General features: G+C 40.9%; 1 long non-coding RNA gene and 1 pseudogene across 2 annotated transcripts in view, besides 4 other annotated features; one reads left to right on the forward strand and one right to left on the reverse strand.

The window, feature by feature from the left end:
- Nucleotides 1–18,158, forward strand: part of LINC01630 (long intergenic non-protein coding RNA 1630) — a 170,428-nt gene that overhangs the window by 18,931 nt on the left and 133,339 nt on the right. The window lies entirely within an intron of this gene.
- Nucleotides 6,563–7,110: an enhancer, noted in NCBI's record as "OCT4-NANOG-H3K27ac hESC enhancer chr18:48943905-48944452 (GRCh37/hg19 assembly coordinates)". NCBI's record gives its function as "activates a minimal SCP1, AML or CMV promoter by ChIP-STARR-seq in primed H9 embryonic stem cells {active_cell/tissue: H9 hESC(primed)}" and the evidence as "EXISTENCE:reporter gene assay evidence [ECO:0000049][PMID:30033119]".
- On the reverse strand, nt 9,681–10,269 carry SS18L2P2 (SS18 like 2 pseudogene 2; annotated as a pseudogene).
- Nucleotides 10,443–11,217: an enhancer, noted in NCBI's record as "H3K27ac hESC enhancer chr18:48947785-48948559 (GRCh37/hg19 assembly coordinates)". NCBI's record gives its function as "activates a minimal SCP1, AML or CMV promoter by ChIP-STARR-seq in primed H9 embryonic stem cells {active_cell/tissue: H9 hESC(primed)}" and the evidence as "EXISTENCE:reporter gene assay evidence [ECO:0000049][PMID:30033119]".
- Nucleotides 14,465–14,594: an enhancer, noted in NCBI's record as "active region_13331". NCBI's record gives its function as "activates an Ori minimal core promoter by ATAC-STARR-seq in GM12878 lymphoblastoid cells {active_cell/tissue: GM12878}" and the evidence as "EXISTENCE:reporter gene assay evidence [ECO:0000049][PMID:35858748]".
- Nucleotides 15,437–16,636: an enhancer, noted in NCBI's record as "MED14-independent group 3 enhancer chr18:48952779-48953978 (GRCh37/hg19 assembly coordinates)". NCBI's record gives its function as "activates an origin of replication core promoter dependent on BRD2, BRD4, P300/CBP and CDK7 cofactors, and independent of MED14, by STARR-seq in HCT116 cells {active_cell/tissue: HCT116}" and the evidence as "EXISTENCE:reporter gene assay evidence [ECO:0000049][PMID:35650434]".

Genomic DNA, 18,158 nt, shown 5'->3' on the forward strand with positions numbered 1-18,158 from the left:
AAATGTTCCATGTCTTCTTGATGTTTCCAGCCCTTCTTTGTAGTGAGGCTGGGTCATGTGACTGGTTTTGGTCAATGGACTATGAGCAGATGTGATATCTTGGTATCTGGGTCAAGGCAGTTAAGAACCAGGGTGCTTCCTCCAGCCCCCTCTGCTGCCTGCAGCAGTCTTGGAGTCCACACGTTCCAGATACTGTAGATGCAAGATGGAGGAGTGGGGGATAAGTTTTTATGGTGTTAAGCCATCAAAATTTCAGCAATAAGCTTGGTGTGTTATAGAAACAGAGAGAAGGCCAATGGGGCTGGAGCACAGTGGACTGGGGAGAAAGTGACAAGAGATTATGTTGGAGAGAGAGGCAAGAGCTGTGTAGGGAGGGCTGTGGGGATAATGGGGAAGAGTTTAAATTTGATTTTTAGTGCAATGGAAAGCAATGTATCAAGAATGTGTCTTAAGAACCTTAAAATTGTCCCTACTCTCTGATCCAGAAATATGCAGAATCTATTCCAAAGAGTCCAAGAAAAAAATCTATAATGTAGTCAAAGATTTATATATAGCAGCATTTTTTCTAAATTATAATAGCAAAAGTTGAAAAAGCTTAAATGTCTAAAAATATGGGAATGATTAAAGCATAATATTGCTATTATTAAATAGATCTTTTCCTGAATGATTTTAAAGACAGAAATCCTTGTTTCGCATTCACAGTAGCAACAAAATTTAAAAATAAGGTGAAGAGGATGCAGAAGATCTTTAGTGGAGAAAGGAAAGGCTGATCTGAATTAACGGAGGGAAATACCAAGTTTTTGTATGCAAGAGTTTGATATTGTGAGTGTTGCTTCTTCCCTATTCAATTGTCAATCAATACAATTCTAATTAACATTCCTAGAAAATTGTAACTGAATTTCACAAACTTGAGTCTAAAGTTCATCTAGAGGAAAAAAATGTGCAAGAAAAACTAAGAATAGTTTGAAAAAAGCACAATGTGAGCTCTTGTATAGCTCTGGACATTGGCTCAATAGAAAAAGTAGGAATCCAGAAAGAGACCTATGTTTATGTGACAATTTAGAGTATTACAAAACTAGAGCTTCAAAGCAGCGGGAGAAAAACACTATACAATAAATGAGTCTGATACAATTGAATATCCATTCACATTAAAATGTAGTTAGCTCTGTCCCACACACAATACCCAGAAAAATATTCTGAAGAACTTCACCTTTTAAAACAACTGAATATTAAAGGAGCAGAAGAAAATTTAGGTGCAAGTGGCAGCCACAAGTTTCTCAAGAAGTTAAATATAGAATTACTGTATAACCTAGAAATTTCGTTCCTAGGTATAAACTCAAAAAACTAAAATCAGGGACTCAAATAGAGCCCTGCACACCAATGTTCATAGCAGCATTATTCACAGTAACTAAAATGTGGAAACAACCCAAATGTCCATCAATAGATGAATGGACAAACAAAATGTGGTAAATACATAATATGGTTTGGATATCTGTCCCCTCCAAATCTCATGTTGAAATGTGATTCCCAGTGTCATAGGTGGGCCTGATGGGAGGTGTTTGTGTCACGGGGGCAGATCCCTCACGAATGGCTTGCTGCATCCCCTGTGGTAATGAGTTCATGCGAGATCTGATTGTTTAAAACAGCCTAGGCATTTTCTCCTTGCTCTCTTGTTCCCCCTCTTGCCAGGGATACAATAGCTCTCCTTCCCTTCCACCATGACTAAAATCTTCCTGGGCCTCAGCAGAAGCCGAGCAGATGTGGGTGTCGTGCTTGTACAGCCTGCAGAACTGTGAGCCAAATAAACCTCTTTTCTTGATAGATTACCCAGCATCAGGTATTCCTTTTTATCACAGTGTGAATGGACTCACACAATACATACAATGGAATATCATTCAGCCTTAAAAATTAGGAAATTCTGACACATGCTACAACATAAATGAACGTTGAGGACATTATGCTAAGTGAAACAAGCCAATCACAAAAAGCAAATATTATATTTTTCCACTTATATGAGATCCTTAGAGTAATCAAATTCATAGAGACAGAAAGTAGACCAGTGGTTTCCAGGGGCTGGGAAAGTAGGGAGTTTTTGTTTTTGTTTTTTGAGATGGAGTCCTGATCTGTCGCCCAGGCTGGGGTGCATTGGCATGATCTCGGCTCAAACTCCTGACCTCAAGTGATCCACCCACCTCAGCCTCCCAAAGAGCTAGGATTATAAGTGTGAACCACCGCGTCCGGCCCAGGAGTTCTTGTTTAACAGGTAAAGAGTTGCAGTTGGGATGACGAAAAAGTTCTGGAAATAGACAGTGGTGATGCTTGCACAACCTGTAAATGTACTTAATGCTGAAATGTGGTACTTAAAAATGGTTAAAATTGTAAATTTTAAGTTATATATATTTAGCACAATAAAATGTAAAAAAACTATAAAGGATGTACATTAGGGGAAAAAAGGCAACCACAAAGTTTAGGGGCTGTGTATCAGAGATGAACACTGTCATATTACAGGGAGGCTTTGAGAGGCAGAAGTTCCTAGGTCATTGAGAATGAATGCAAATAGAGATTGGATAGAAATTAAAACTGACAGTATAAAAATGTAGCTCAGAAAAATTAAAAAAAAAGCTGAAAAAAGAAAAATTTCAAAGAAGTAGTGTGCTTAAATTTTTAGAAGTGGAAAACAATGAAAAGGAGCAGATTTCTATTCAATATAACCCACATAAGATATGCAAACAGTGCATTGCAAATTGCTTATTTAATGAGGATTTAGTTATTGGTCAAAAAAAGAAAAGAAAGAGAGTCAGAACATTTTTCTAATCACATTCGTAACTTGAACACATCAGAAGAAATCCTGGCAAACTTGCAACTTCATATTCTTCCCTGAATGAAGATTTAATTGCAGTCGTGAAATGTCACTTGTACACAAAAAGTCCCATATGCAATTACTACAATGGAACAAAAAGGCTGAATAAACAGTGAACAATCAATAGTATTCCACACAGACAAGTCAGTGCTGATCGAGAACATTGGCATGATGTTCTTCAAAACAAAGCATGACAAAGATTTCTGAGGCACAATATTTACTGAAAAAAGAAAATTTTCTAAGTTTGCTAGAAATAATTTCAAAATTTGAATGGCCAAACATGTAAGATGGATAAGAAATTGTAAAATAAATTATCACTCTCTAGGATGGAGAATTTGATTCGTAATGATTAATTTAACAGGTAATTAAGTGAGACAAAATGCCACACATAAAAATTTAAAAGGTATGTGTTACTCAGTTCAATCAGATTGTGGCAGGGACAAAATGTCAGACAACTAACATTTGTTGTACATATGTTTGAATCAGAAGACAAAAACAAGAAGGTCGAAATGAGTATTTCATTGATTCTACACCTGTTGTAAAGTGCACACCTTTTTTTTTTTACTTAATTGAAGAATCAAAAAATCTTCTTTAGATAACAGGCATTAATTTAAAAGACTGACGAGGGCAGTGTAAGGCAATGGTGTTGATGTGGCTGCAAAAACAACATGGGCAAACTAGACTTTGGGCTGAAATATCCAGAACGAATCTTTGTTCCAGGTACTGTACATACTTAGAATTCATTACTAGGAGATGTGGCCTCGACTGTGCCAATTATAATTACATTTTTGGGGAATAATTCAGAGATTATGTCTGATAATCTCTTCACCAGTATAAATTGGCATATTTTGAAGAAATTCATATAAAATTTGATCCTGCAATCACTCTCAGATAACATGGTTGGGAAATGTGAAAGCAATTAGATTTAATCAGATATGATGCAAGGTGCATTAGAAGAGTTAGACAGAACAGCAGAAGATTCTCAAGTAGAGTGATTGTAGTCTTTGCAGAAAAAAGGTAATATTAAATTTGTACCATAAACATTATTTAGTATGAACTGATGTTTGCAAAAGGTCACAAATCCAAAAGGATCTAAGTTAGCTATTCACTTTTAAAAGGATTAAAAATATCTTAAACATTTTCAGAAAATACTTTTTTAAAATAAAAATGTCATGACAAATATGCAATAAAATGATATTGCAATAAATAGTCATGCATTGCTTGATGATGGGGATAGGTTAGGAGAAATGCATTGCTTGGTGATTTCACTGTTGTGCAAACGTCATAGCGTGTACTTACACAAACTTAGATGGCATAGCCTGCTACGTGTCTAGCCTATAAGGTATAGCCTATTGCTCCTAGGCTACAAACCTGTACAGCATGTCACTGTATTGAATATTGTAGGCAATCGTAACATGATGGTAAGTATTTGTATATCAAAACAGAAAAGATACAGTAAAAATATATAAAAGATTTAAAAAAATGGTACCCATGTATGGGGTACCTATCAAGAAAGGAGCCTGAAGGACTAGAAGTTGCTCTAGGTGAGTCAGTGAATGAGAAGTGAGTGAATGTGAATACCTAGGACATTATTGGACACTACTGCAGACTTTATAAACCCTGTAGCCTTATGCTACATTAGACTTATAAAAATATTTTTCTTTTTTCAATAACAAGTTATCTTACTGTGACTTTTTTACTTTACAAACTTCTAAATTTTAACTTTTGACTCTTTTATAATAACATTTAGCTTAAAACACAAACACCTTTTGGAGGCCGAGGCAGGCAGATTGCTTGAGCCCCGGAGTTAGAGACCAGCCTGGGCAACGTGGCAAGACCCCTTCTCCACAAAAAATACAAAAATTAGTCAGGTCTGGTGGCTCATAGCTGTAGTCCCAGCTACTAAGGAGGCTGAGGTGGGAGGATCACTCCAGCCTGGGAGGTCGAGGCTGCAGTGAACCATGATTGTCCTGCTGCACTCCAGCCTGGGCAACAAAGTGAGAACCTGTCTCAAAAATAAAAAATAATAAATAAATAAATAAATAAATAAATAAATTAATGGAAGAAAAAAGTACCCACAAACACATTGTACAGCTGTAAAAATTACTTTCTTTCTTGATATTCTTATTCCAAAAGTTTTTTTTTCTATTTAGCAATTATTTTCTACTTTTTTTTTTTTTTGAGATGGAGTCTCACCTTGTCATCCAGGCTGGAGTGCAGTGGCATGATCTCGGCTCACTGCAACTTCTGCCTCCTTGGTTCAAGTGATTCTCCTGCCTCAGTCTCCTGAGTAGCTGAGATTACAGGCATAGGCCACCACGTCCAGTCAATTTTTGTATTATTAGTAGAGATGGGGTTTCACCATGTTGGCCAGGCTGGTCTCGAACTCCTGACCTCAAGTGATTCACCGGCCTTGGCCTCCCAAAGTTCTGGGATTATAGGCGTGAGCCACCACACCTGGCTCTTTTTTTTTTTTTTTAACTTTTAAACTTTAAAAATATCATTGTTTCTCACTTTCACATCTTGTCCCACTAGAAGGTGTTCAGGGGCAATAGCACGCATGGAGCTGTCATCTCCTATGATAACAATGTCTTCTTTTGGGATGACTCCTGAAGGATCTGTCTGAGGCTGTTTTATAGGTAATTAAAAAAAAATAGAAGTAGTACGCTCTAAATTAACAACAATAGTATAGTATAGTAAATACACAAACCAGTAATAGTTATTTATTAACATTATCAAGCTTTATGTGCTGTATATAAATGTATCTGCTCCACTTTTAAATGGCTGGCACTGCAGTAGGTGTATTTACACCACAAACATGTGAGTAATGTATTGTGCTATGACTTTACGATGGCTACAATGTCGCTAGGTGGTAGGAATTTTTTAGCTCCATTATAATTTTTTAGGGCCACGGTCCCTGGTTGACCAAAATGTCATTAGATAGTGCATGTTTATAAGGCCAGGTGTGGTGGCTCACGCCTATAATCCCAGCACATTGGGATGCTGAGGTGGGCCGATCATGAGGTCAAGAGACCATCCTGGCCAACATGGGGAAACCCTGTCTCTACTAAAAATACAAAAATTAGCTGGGCATGGTGGTGCATGCCTGTAGTCCCATCTACTCAGGAGGCTGAGGCAGGAGAATCGCTTGAACCCGTGAGACAGAGGTTGCAATAGCCAAGATTGTGCCACTGCACTCCAGCCTGGTGACAGAGCGAGTCTCCGTCTCAAAAAAAAAGTATGAAAATGAAATGGCAATTATAATCATCATATCAGTGGAAATATTCTCAAAGCCATTTGAATAATTCAAGGATGACAAGAATTTATTGTATATTTTAAATGTTTATTTATGTAGCTATCTTTTAATATTTGAGCTCAGAATCTCCAAGGATTTCAGGAAGCTAAAGCAAAAAAAAATCCTCCTGAAATAGACAGAGTGAATGAAATGTTTGCAAATGCATATATCCATTGTGTAGATATTCATGATTCCTCAAGCACAAAGGCATATAGGTAAATGATACTCATGACTCGGACAATGCTTACTGAATGCCTGCTGCATGTCAGATATTGTGTTAGTGCCAGGGAGATGATGGATAAACAAAATAGACATAGTCTCTGCTCTCTATATAACTTACATGCTAGTAGGGAATATAGATGTGTAGACAGCAATTTTTAGATGATGTGCGGGATAATAGGATGAGGTGAATCCAGGGAGCTCACAAACAGAGGAGGGGCACTTCATTCAGTATTGAGTAGCGAGAAATAGTAGATTATAACACGAAGAACTAATAAAGGGATGAAAGAGCATTGACGACTAATAACAGAGGCATGTTCTCTTTGCTCTAGATTCTTGCATATGTGATGGCTTCTGCCTGGAGTCCTGTGACAGTCACACTAGGTGGTGCCTGGACTAGGCATGTTTTGAGGTGGCTGCTTTTCTCATATGCTTTTCTCTGGGATCTGACCATTCCTTTCATCTCTTGGCCAGGCATGTGTTGTGTCATCTCCATCCTTTCTTCCTTTTTCCCTCACTTCCTGTCTCCCTTTGTTCTTTCCTTCTTCTCTCCACCCCACCCATTACACCTGATTGCAACTAGGGTTACTCATATCATTGGCTGGTCATTAACCAACCAGTGTCTGTCTCCCCATATCTCTAGAGATTTTGAAGTTATAATACAGTAGTTATTAAGAAATTATTTTTAGGCGCTAGAAAGGGTGAAAGTTCTCCCTGGAATTTTCCTTTAAAAAGAAGGAACCCCCAAACTATTTCTTCTCTAACAGAAAGCAGCCTGAGAAGTCAGGCATAGACATGCAAACTAGAAGCTTTTATATGTAAATGGAAGCAGCTGTACCTGGAAGTCAGGTACATTCAATATGGCGTTTCCCGCCCTCTTTTCCTTGTCATCACATGTGCCAGGTGTCATGGCAGCCTCCAGATAAAATCACGTGTACAGATATCAAGGCCTCTGCCAGGTGGAGGCCGCATTTGCATAATAAAAGACTAGGGTGGGAGGGCCAGCCTTTTTGTGGGCTATGTAAATGGCACACCTGGTCAAAGCAATCCCCTGGGCCCTATGTAAATCAAACATCGCCTCCTCAAGCCTCTGTACAAACCAATTGCGTTCCACCACAAAAGATAAACCCTCTTTTCGGCGACCTGCTTTCTCAACATAAGGAAGCTTTTTCTCTCTCTTTTCTTTTGCTATTACACTTTCTGCTCCTGAACCCACTGCTCATGTATGTCCGTGTCCTGAATTCTTTCTTGACCGAGACCAAGAGCCAGGGTATATACCGCAGACAACGGAGCCGTTTCAGTAAGAGGCACAACAACTGCATTGAAACACAGTCTGTTGAGTAAATAAATAATTACCCTTCAACTTGATCCATGGGAACTCAAAGTACATTTTTGGAGCTTTCAGAACAAACAACGCTCATATCTTTATTATATCATCATAAAAATTTTCTTTATAAAGTATATGAAAATGATGCTAACTATAACCATATTATTCTGTTTCATAACCAGCAACAATGCATTAGTTCCCTCAACCAAATCATAAACTGTTAATATAGGAATGGATGCATTTAAAAACAGACATTTGTGTTCCAATTCACCAAAGGTTTGTTAGGTAATCTAAAATGAACTTAATTTTAGCTAAATTTTGGACTATTACATATGCTTTTTAAATAAGGCTTGAAGGGAAGAAGGATTGACTTTTAATTGTGATATCAGTAGTGAAACTGTTGTAGATTTCTGTTTCAGAGTTAAAAAATATTTGTTGAGTGGTGATGTAGCAGAATGTAACAGATATTGCCGAAATCTGCTCCCTAACAAACTGTTCCAAAACTCGGTGGCTTAAAATGATAATTCTCATGAATCTGATGTTAAGGGTAGTTTGATCTGAGCTGGGCTAGACTAGAGAGACTTGGCTCTGCTGCATGTCCCTGATCCTGCCTGAGGACAAGCAGGCTAGCCCAGGTATGCTCTTCTCATGGTGATGAGAGGCAAAGAGAGCAGGTGCACCCATACAGGATCTCTCAAGCCAAGGTTCAAAACTGGCAACCTGTCACTCCTGTCTCATTCTATGGTCCAAAAGTGTCTTATGGCCATACCCAAAGGGAAGGGGAAGTGATGTATGCCATTGCATAGTGAGAGGGTCCTGCAAGGTTTTATTGGAAGATCATGTAGACAAGGAGGGTGATGAAGAAGGGACAGCAATATAATCCACACACAAAAACTGCCTAGTTATTCAACGAACTCGCTTCTCTTCTTCCTGGAGCCCACAGTTACCCTATCTTTCCTTGCCTCTCAGGCAGTAATGTCTGGCTATGTAACTGAGCAGAAAGGACTTGGGCCACAAAGATTTCTAATGGGAACTCTGTGCTATTTCCCGTTTCTTTGGCTTGATGCAGACAAACTAAGAAAACTTGAAAGCCACGTATTGAATATATTCAGAAACACAAGATGAAGGAGGCTGTGTCCAATCAGCAACTTCTGTTTTTTTTTTTTTTTTTTTTTGAGACAGAGTCTTACTCTGTCGCCCAGGCTGGAGTGCAGTGGCACTGAACTCGGCTCACTGCAAGCTCCGCCTCCCAGGTTCATGCCATTCTCCTGCCTCAGCCTCCTGAGTAGCTGGGACTACAGGCGCCCACCACCACGCCCGGCTAATTTTTTTGTATTTTTAGTAGAGACGAGCTTTCACCAGATTAGCCAGGATGGTCTCGATCTCCTGACCTCATGATCCGCCCGCCTCGGCCTCCCAAAGTGCTGGGATTACAGGCTTGAGCCACCGCGCCCGGCCTGCAGCAACTTCCCTTTGGACTTTGAGAAGGAAATAAGCTTTTATTATGCTGGCACCATTACTTATTTTGGGGTTTGCTTATTACAGCAACTAGACTGGCTTACCCTAAATGATACATGTGATGTGTCTGGAGAAAGGCTCTAAAGATGCCTCCAGATTTCCTTGAGAGCACTTTAGACACACTGCCCTAATGCTTATTAGGTTCAGCTTTCATTCCTTATGGGTAGCTTCTCCATATTTGCCAAAATCAGGGAGGAGAAACCTTGATTGTCCTGAGGTTGGGGAGATATTCTTCCTGGTAACCAGGGCATGATATAACACTGTAGTGCAACATCAACACTTCAGTGACCAAAATAAGTTCCTGCAAAAGGTCAGGGATGGAATTGGCTTTCAGCTTCAATTAGGCCTTTTATTGCTTCATTACATTCTTGATTCCATCAGATTCCTTTATTGGGAAGAAAGGAGGAGGAGAAGTATTAGGAGAAGGAGGATTGTGTGGAAAAGTAAGCTTTATTTCAAGGCATTGACAAACTGGTAGGAAGGAGCACAGAGTTACCTGTCTATGTAGCAAGGGCTCAGTCAGGAGTCCCACCAATTCCTGCCTGAGGCCTACTCAATTTCCTCTTTGGGTTGAAACTAAAAAGTAGGCTTGCAGATGCCAGTGATGTCTTTGTTATCCAAACATGCTCCACATCCAGGAAAGAGAACACCTGGGGTCACCTTATTGAGGGATTTGCTTAATCATTAAAATAAATATTTACATTGAGAATACAGTTAAGTTAGCTTTCTTTGCACACTCACAGTTTTTAAAAGAGCCATAGGGCTTTCGTTCATGTTTTAAGCAATTAAGTTGGTAAAAATCCTGTCTCCATTTTCTAAGAGATGGATTACATTCAATTACTCCTCACAACAGCCAACTGGAAGATTGTCTCATTGCTTTTGAAGTACTGGTTGGGCTGGTGTCTGTGACGGTAGCAAAATAAATGAGATTTCTTTGTAACCCATGCTGATGCTGGATGCACTTGTTAGCCTGGCCCTTGTTCTGATACTCCACAATACAGCAGTTCAGCTGGTCATGCTCCTTAAGGAGCCACTGGGTAGTCGATTGATGTATTTGTCTGTTGTCACACTGCTATAAAGAACTACCTGAGACTGGATAATTTATGAAGAAAAGAGGTTTAATTGACTGACAGTTCCACAGGCTTAATAGGAAGCATGACTGGGAGGCCTCAGGAAACTTACAATCATGGCAGAAGTCGAAGGGGAAGCAAGCACCTTCTTTACAGGGTGGCAGGAGAGAGAGAGAGAGTGCAAGGGAGGAGGTGCTACACACTTCTAAACCATCAGATCTCATGAGAACTCACTATCATGAGAACAGCGAGGGGGAAATCTGCCCCCATGATCCGATCACCTCCTACCAAGTCCCTCCCCTAACACTGGGAATTACAACTTGAGATGAGATTTGCATGGGGACACAGAGCTGAATCGTATCAATTGACTTCTGCCTTGCCCCTCAGCCAGTCTGATACGAAGGCCACCTGCATTCTGAGGAGCCTCAGAAACCTTGGGCCACCATGTATCTCAGTTAGAGCCAATCAGCCACTTGGGCATGCATATTTCATCTGGCAACATGCGCTGGGGCCTGCCAGGCTGTGTCCTTTGCCAAGGCCCAACTCACACCAAAAGTCCTTTCCTTTTACAGGAAATGCCAGGGATGCTCTTGTTTGGAATTAGAATGTCTATTTTATTTTAGAGTTTAGTTTTAAATGTGCAATCCATTCCAAGTTTTAAAGCATTATCCATTTGGGCATATCGTCTTCAACAGTCATAAAAAGGCTTTCTATTTTTTTTATTTGAAACAATTTTGCCTCCTAAAGAAGCATCCCATATTTATAAGAGATAATACCTCCTACCACATCCATCAAATAAGATTTCCCCCTAGTGCCTAATGTTAGAATGCTACGCCTCTAAGCTTTTCTTCAGATTCTTTTTTCTATTTAGTAACAAGTAGAATGTGCTCATTACATCAACAAACCTAGGGATAAACATTTGGAAATCACCTCATTTTATGAGTTAGAGAAAACATATAATCGTCTAGTTTACTAGACATTCACCAATGCTTCCTTGGTGGCATGACATATAGAAAAAAAGGAGATTAGTATTGAAGATGAAAATAGCTTTATCGTGGGCAGAGTGGCAATTAGAATTTTTGTCTCCAGACCATATGGGTTCTTATTATAATTCCGTTTCTGGCCCTTTCCCTCCTGGAGTCCTCTAATCCTGGTGGGTTGTTCCTCACAGCTAACAGTAATGGTTAACATTTAGTGAGCACTCACCGGGTCTCAGGCATTTGACATCCACTTGCTTATTTAACTCTAAGAAAAAAATCCTATGAGTTGGATGTTGTGATCCCCATTTTACAGATGGGGAAACTGAGGCACACCCAGTAAGCGATGGGGCCATCGCTGAAACTCATACAGTCTGATTCCAGAGGTTGAGCTCTTCTCCACTGTGCTATATGCTAAGAACTAAGTCATAATTTCAAGGTTGGTTAGTCTTTTGTTCCAAAAGGAAGATCAATTCTGTTAGGAATCTCCAGTAACTTTGTCTTGGCTGAGTTGTTGGTGTCAGCTAGATGAAGATGCCCCCTTTTTAAGTCCTCTTCCCTTCTCTATAAAATATATTCACTGATTAGTAGTAATAGTGGACACAAACATTTTCAACTTTCTCATATGATTCAGGCCCAGGAAAAGCTAGATTCTTATTGTCTAACTGTATATAGCCTCAGAAGTCATAATATTTACTGCTAATATCAGGTGTTTTCAATCTATATTCAATGGGAATCAAGCTAGTATTCAGTGAGAGTGCACCAGAACCCTGGTTATCCTGGTTGTTAAAATTATACAATAGCCATCACCCCAATTCTCTCACACAATCTAGAAAATTGAAGGCTAAATTCGGCAACTGCAGAGTTAATGTCTGGCACAGCGGGGGCCTTCTGGACTCTGCTCCTGCTCTGCAGCCAATGTCCATTCTCAAGATATGGTGACTGCCACATATTCTCACTTAGAAGTAGGAGCTAAACAATGAGAACACATGGATACATGGTGGGGAATGACACACACTGGGGACTGTCGGAGGGGCAGGGGTTGATGAGGAAAGGGAATAACCAATTCCCTTTGGTTATCCAGGAAGAATAGTCAATAATCAGGAAGAACAGCCAATGGATGCTGGGCTTAATACCTTGGTGACTGGTTGATCTGTGCGGAAAACCACCATGACACACATTTATGATGACTTCCCATTTCCTCCTAATGCTATCTTCCCACCCCACCCCAGGCCAATACAACTGTGAATCAATTTTCTGTCTATAAATTTGTCTATTCTAGACATTTTTTTCCGTGAGACAGAGTCTCGCTCTGTCACTCAGGCTGGAGTGCAGTGGCTTGATCTCAGCTCACTGCAACCTCCGCCTCCTGGGTTCAGGCGATTCTCATGCTTCAGCCTCCTGAGTAGCTGAGATTACAGGCATGTGCCACCACAACTGGCTAATTTTTTAAATTCTTTTTTATTTTTTAGTAGAGATGTGGTTTCACCACGTTGGCCAGGCTGGCCTCCAACTCTTGACCTCAAGCAGTTCGCCTGCCTCAGCCTCCCAAAGTGCTGGGATTGCAGTCATGAGCCACTGTGCCTGGCCTATTCTGGACATTTTCTATATATGAAATCATATAATATGTGCTCTTTGTGACTAGCTTCTTTAATTTGGCATGATGTTTTCCAAGTTTCCCATGATATCTTTTTGATAAGAGATCATGTATTGTCTAGGGATAGCTCCTGTGCTTAATTGCTCTTTAAGTGTTTTTGTATATTGCCTCACCAAATACAACATAAATATTCAGAAATTGTTTTGACATCTGGGGTTTTGTACGCCTAGAACAGCGCTGCCTTCTGCTGGGAAATGCTCCTTCCAATCTTGTGTTTCAGGGGAGCATGTGAAATGGTCTTTACACAGGCCCTTTCCCCCCGTCCAGTTTGGGGATGGAAGCCTGACCCCGCTGATACTACCCTGAGATTTTGGAACTGGTAACTGAGACATCAGGTCCCACGGCCTCTCTAGAGCTGGAGACAAGGTGGTCATTTCTCCTGCTGTGTGAAAGAAGGTGGTACGTGGTAAGGAGAATGAAGCCCACATGAGGGGATGAGTCCTCTGGGACCCCTGACAGCATCCATGTTTCTGATGCCATTGTTCTCCTAGACCCAGGTGGGTCCCTGACCCTCCTATGCTGTCTATAGGACACACTATTATCCATTTCATATTTGGTAGTAAGTATTTAGACATGGGAATGATCACTGCATCTAAAGTACCAGGAAAGGTTCAAAAGTGTGGGTCAGCTGCCTCTGGGAGCATCATTTTAATGGGTCATCACAACCTAACGTAATTAATATGTAAGCCTGGTAGGCTTAGCATCCCAGGTATTTTACATTGGCTGATGATGCCTTCCATGAGCAAATTCAAGCTCTCAGTTTACATCAGTGACATATCATCAAATTTTGTGGGCATTTTTCTGATCATTAAAAAATGCATTACATAGCACATACCTATATGGAACACAATCAGATTTTTTCTTCCACATCTCAGGGGTTTGAATGAATAGATGTTCTTTCTCATTCAGACTTGCTTAGTATCATTAAATAAGTAATTGGAAATAGAAGCCAGGAAGAAATTTCAGACATGCACAACATTTTTCTGCTTCAAATGTACCTTTTAGCATTTTCTGCATGCACCAAGTACTGAAAAAAATGAAATGTGAAGTTAATTTATCATTACTTTGTAATGTTACACTTACCTATCTACTGTTTAAAGAAAAGGTTTGGGTCTTGACTTAAAACTGAAACTATATATATGCTCTTATTTATTTAGGTGCATGTAAAAGACAAACTCTAAGAAAAAATTCCTGACCCCTCTTACTACACTTTTTCTATGTGATGTGTGTTGTAAAAAGGAAGTGTTGGCATTTATAACAATCCTGTGTGTTTAGTGGAAATTCCTGGCCTTTTTAAATTAATGCTGCTTTTTTTTTCGGTGTCCTATTTTACCACTGTTTACAGACAACCTTCACATCAGGTCTTTTTGCTAACCTATGAAATGGCTGCTTGGGCAATACTTTGAGGGACAAAGATAAGAGAAAGAAAAATATAGATCTGAGAAGAGAGATGGGGAAGAGAAGAATGTGATGGGTCAAGAAGCGAGTAGGCTGTGAACACGATTTCTGACAAGGCAGAGGGCATGTTCCCAGGTGGTGCTGATCCCAGCAGGAAAGAGGTCCCTGAACTGGGAGGCGAGCCCCAGGACCTGTGGGAAGCATTGACTCTTCATCAGGGGTTGTGTTGTTCAATCTTATCTTACGAATTTGCAGTCAGATGGAAGGTTCAGGACTTCACAGATGTGCAAGATTTCTCATTTAGGTAGAAGAAGAGGATCCAGGTCATTTCTGTGTAAGAGATGACTCAAGGCTGGGAAGACCCAGAGCCCAAAGCTGTGAAGGTTCTACGAGTCACGGTGATCTTACTGAACAGGGACTTTTCAAGCCACTTCATTTACGGCACTGCCGAGAGGGTAGCAAAGGCGGAGATGGCTGGGCTGTAAGCTCCAAACTCAATTTGAATCATGAAAGATTACTTTTATCTGGTTTTTGCACAAGTGTACAGTGGGTTTTGTATAAATCTTGAGAGGGAAAAAGCATTCTGCTGCTAACACATTAACAAGTTAGAAATCTTGCCTCAGAGGGTATTTCTTTAGCCTGATGCTTCAAGTGGGGCCTGAAACTGTTCTGGGGGGAGCTGGGCATGCCCATGTGTCTGAGCCTGGGTGGGCTTCCCCCATCTTTCAAGCCACTTTGGCTCTGGCTGTCAAGGATCACTGATGTCACTGTGAGCCGTGGAAGAGAACAAAGAGAAAGTACTTCCTGGGTAGAAGAGGGTGAGGCAATAGGAGGTGTTATAAGGAAGGATCTTTAGCAGGAAATGCTCCCCGGAGAGGCCGAAATGATGTCATTGGACCATCAGCCCAATAGCAGTCAGAGGCCAAGTGTCATAGGAGACAAATATGCAAGCTTGAGTCTTGCATATTGTTTAACAGAACTTTTGGTCCAAAGGGCCAGTTATTTTATTTCACTTACTTTTCTGTCAATAGGGCTTGCCAAGGACTGACCTATAAAATTGAGTGAGCCCTAGGGACAGGGAAATGAATGTATTTTGACCTCAGCCAAGAAACCAGACCCAAGTTTAATCAGTAGCTTGATTCAAGTTATGTTTCCATTCTGTGCTAATGACTGCATCATCTCTGGTAGGGAGGTAAGAGGGGTCTTGGAAGCTCCCCTCATTCCCCACCCCCCATCTCTTGCATGAGTTCCTGCAGGTCCAACCAGCTTCAATGGGGGTGTTGATATGGTTTGGATGTTTGTCGCCTCCAAATCCCATGTTGAAATGTGATTCTCAATGTTGGAGGAAGGGTCTAGGGGGAGGTATTGGATCATGGGGATGGATCCCTCCTAAATGGATTAGCACCATCCCCTTGGTGATAAGTGAGTTCTTGCTCAGTTAGCTCATGCGGGATCTGGTTGTTTAAAAGTCTGAGAACTTACCTCCCTGAATCTCTTGCTCCAGCTCTTGCCCTGTGATGTGTCTGCTCCCCTTCGCCTTCCACCATGACTGTAAGCTTCCAGAAGCAGATGCTGGCACCATGATTCCTGCAGAGCCTGCAGGATTGTGACCCAAAATAAACCACTTTATAAGTTACACAGGTATGACCTAGAATTGAAGGGTCTCAGCACCACAGAAGACACAAGGAACTTCTGAAGAATGCAGATCCCTAACCGGGGAAGTCAGAGAACCACCTGCTTAAGAAATGCTTTTCTTAATGTATCATTTGAAAGTGCAGGCTCCTGGGCCTCACCTAAAGTTCACTGGATGAGCATTTCTGGGGGTGGAGCTCAGGAATGTGCATTTACACTTGTGAAAGGAAAATAAAAACTTAGGACTCCAATTCACTCTGCCAGAAGGAAAAAAAAATGAAGCTGAAAGCTGAGTCATGCCAGAAACTGCCTTTCCTTTTGTCCCTAAGCAGAGAGCTACAGATAAAAGGTTAAGTATCTCCGTAGGTAGCTAATTTATGTTCACCTTATCTTTTGTAAAGTGCTGAGTTACTGAGCATGAGACAATATATATAACTGACTGTTCCCCTACCTGTTCCTTTTCTCTTGCAACATGTGGATTGCCATGCCCTCCCTGTTTCCCCTCCAGCCTGTTTTTCCCCTTTAAATATTGAAGCCCTCGAAGTCATCTTTTGAGAAAGGTAGACCATAGACTGTTTCTGTGATTCTGTGTTTTTTCTTCTGTGTGTGTCCTCTAACCCTGGCAAAAAAAATCTAAATTGATTGAGACCTATCTCAGATACTTTTGGTTTACACACCAAGTCCCAGAGTAACTCTTAGGCATGCCAACCTTTGGAAACCATTGCTTTAGGGTGTGGAATGACTTGGATATGAAGCTTTAAATCTGAAGAAACATGACTCACATTGTCCTCAATGGTATATTCTCAGCTAAAGACTCTGCAGATCATATCATGGAGGAATCATTGTGTCCCAGGAATTGCTATAGTGGTGATGGGGCATGAATCTTAAGGTAAGACCAACCTTGTGATGGCTCAATGGGAGAGGGGAGAGGAGGAAAAAAACTCTAGAGATGGGAGAAAGATTAGAAGCTGGTGTGTGCCCATGAGGGGACCCCCCCATGAAGAGTTTAATTTTTGGTCCTTTTCCTCTTGAACGCTGGAATGGTTATATTTGACATCAGGTTACATTATTCCCCAGTTAACTTCCATACTTCCATGAAGTCTGTTCAAACATACAGTATAGTCTACATGGTGTCATGGCTGCAGGGGGATTAGGGAAGAGCAGTAAAAGGAAGTGTGACTTCCCTAGAACCACTCCACTGCCGAGGCCAGCATGTTGAAGACAGCATTAGTTAAAAGCCAGAACATACAGAATTCTAGGCAGGGGCCACGGGGCAATGAGTAGATTCCAAGGCATGGCAGGGAGGAGAATATGACAAGGACAACAGCTACCAGTAGTCACCATTCCTACTTCTGTTCCTATTTCCTCTTTAACCAACTCTAAACAGATTTTTATCTCCACTCATCTTGAAATCTTCTCTTGGCAAGGTCACCCATGACATCTAAATTGCCAAATTCAATGATCATTTCAAAGATATTCTCTTTGACCTGTCGATAGGCATTTGGCACAATTGACCATTTGCTTCTTGAAAAGTTCTTCCTGGCTGGCACGGTGGCTCATGCCTGTAATCCCAGCACTTTGGGAGGCCAAGGCGGTGGATTATGAGGTCAGGAGTTCAAGACCTGCCTGGCCAACATGATGAAACCACGTCTCTACTAAAAATACAAAATGTTAGCTGGGCATGGTGGCATGCTCCTGTAGTCCCAGCTACTCAGGAGGCTGAGGCAGGAGAATTACTTGAATCCAGGAGGTGGAGGTTCCAGTGAGCCGAGATCGTGCCACTGCACTCCAGCCTAGGTGACAGAGTGAGACCCGTCTCAAAAAAAAAAAAAAAAAAAAAAAAAAAAAGAGAAGAAAGAAAAGCTCTTCCCTTGGCTTGCAGATAAGCACTCAGTCTTGCTTTTTCTGCTCCTTTACCAGGTGATCCTTTGATATTCCCTTTAGTCATTCTTTCTCAATGTGGGCATGGCCAAGGGCTTAGTTCTTGGACATAATTTTCTTCATTCTCCTCACTTAACCCATGGACTGACGACTCCCAATATATTTATCTCCAGTTCCAATTTCTCCTCACTTGTAAATACAACTGCTGACTGTCCATCTCCACTGGGAACTGTGATGAGGCTGGCATAACATGTCCAAACCAAACTCACTATTTCTTCTCTGCTGCCCCAAACCTGTTCCTCCTCAGTTTTCCCCATGTTTCTA

Source organism: Homo sapiens, chromosome 18 (assembly GCF_000001405.40).
Source record: "Homo sapiens chromosome 18, GRCh38.p14 Primary Assembly".
Taxonomy (NCBI): Eukaryota; Metazoa; Chordata; class Mammalia; order Primates; family Hominidae; genus Homo; species Homo sapiens.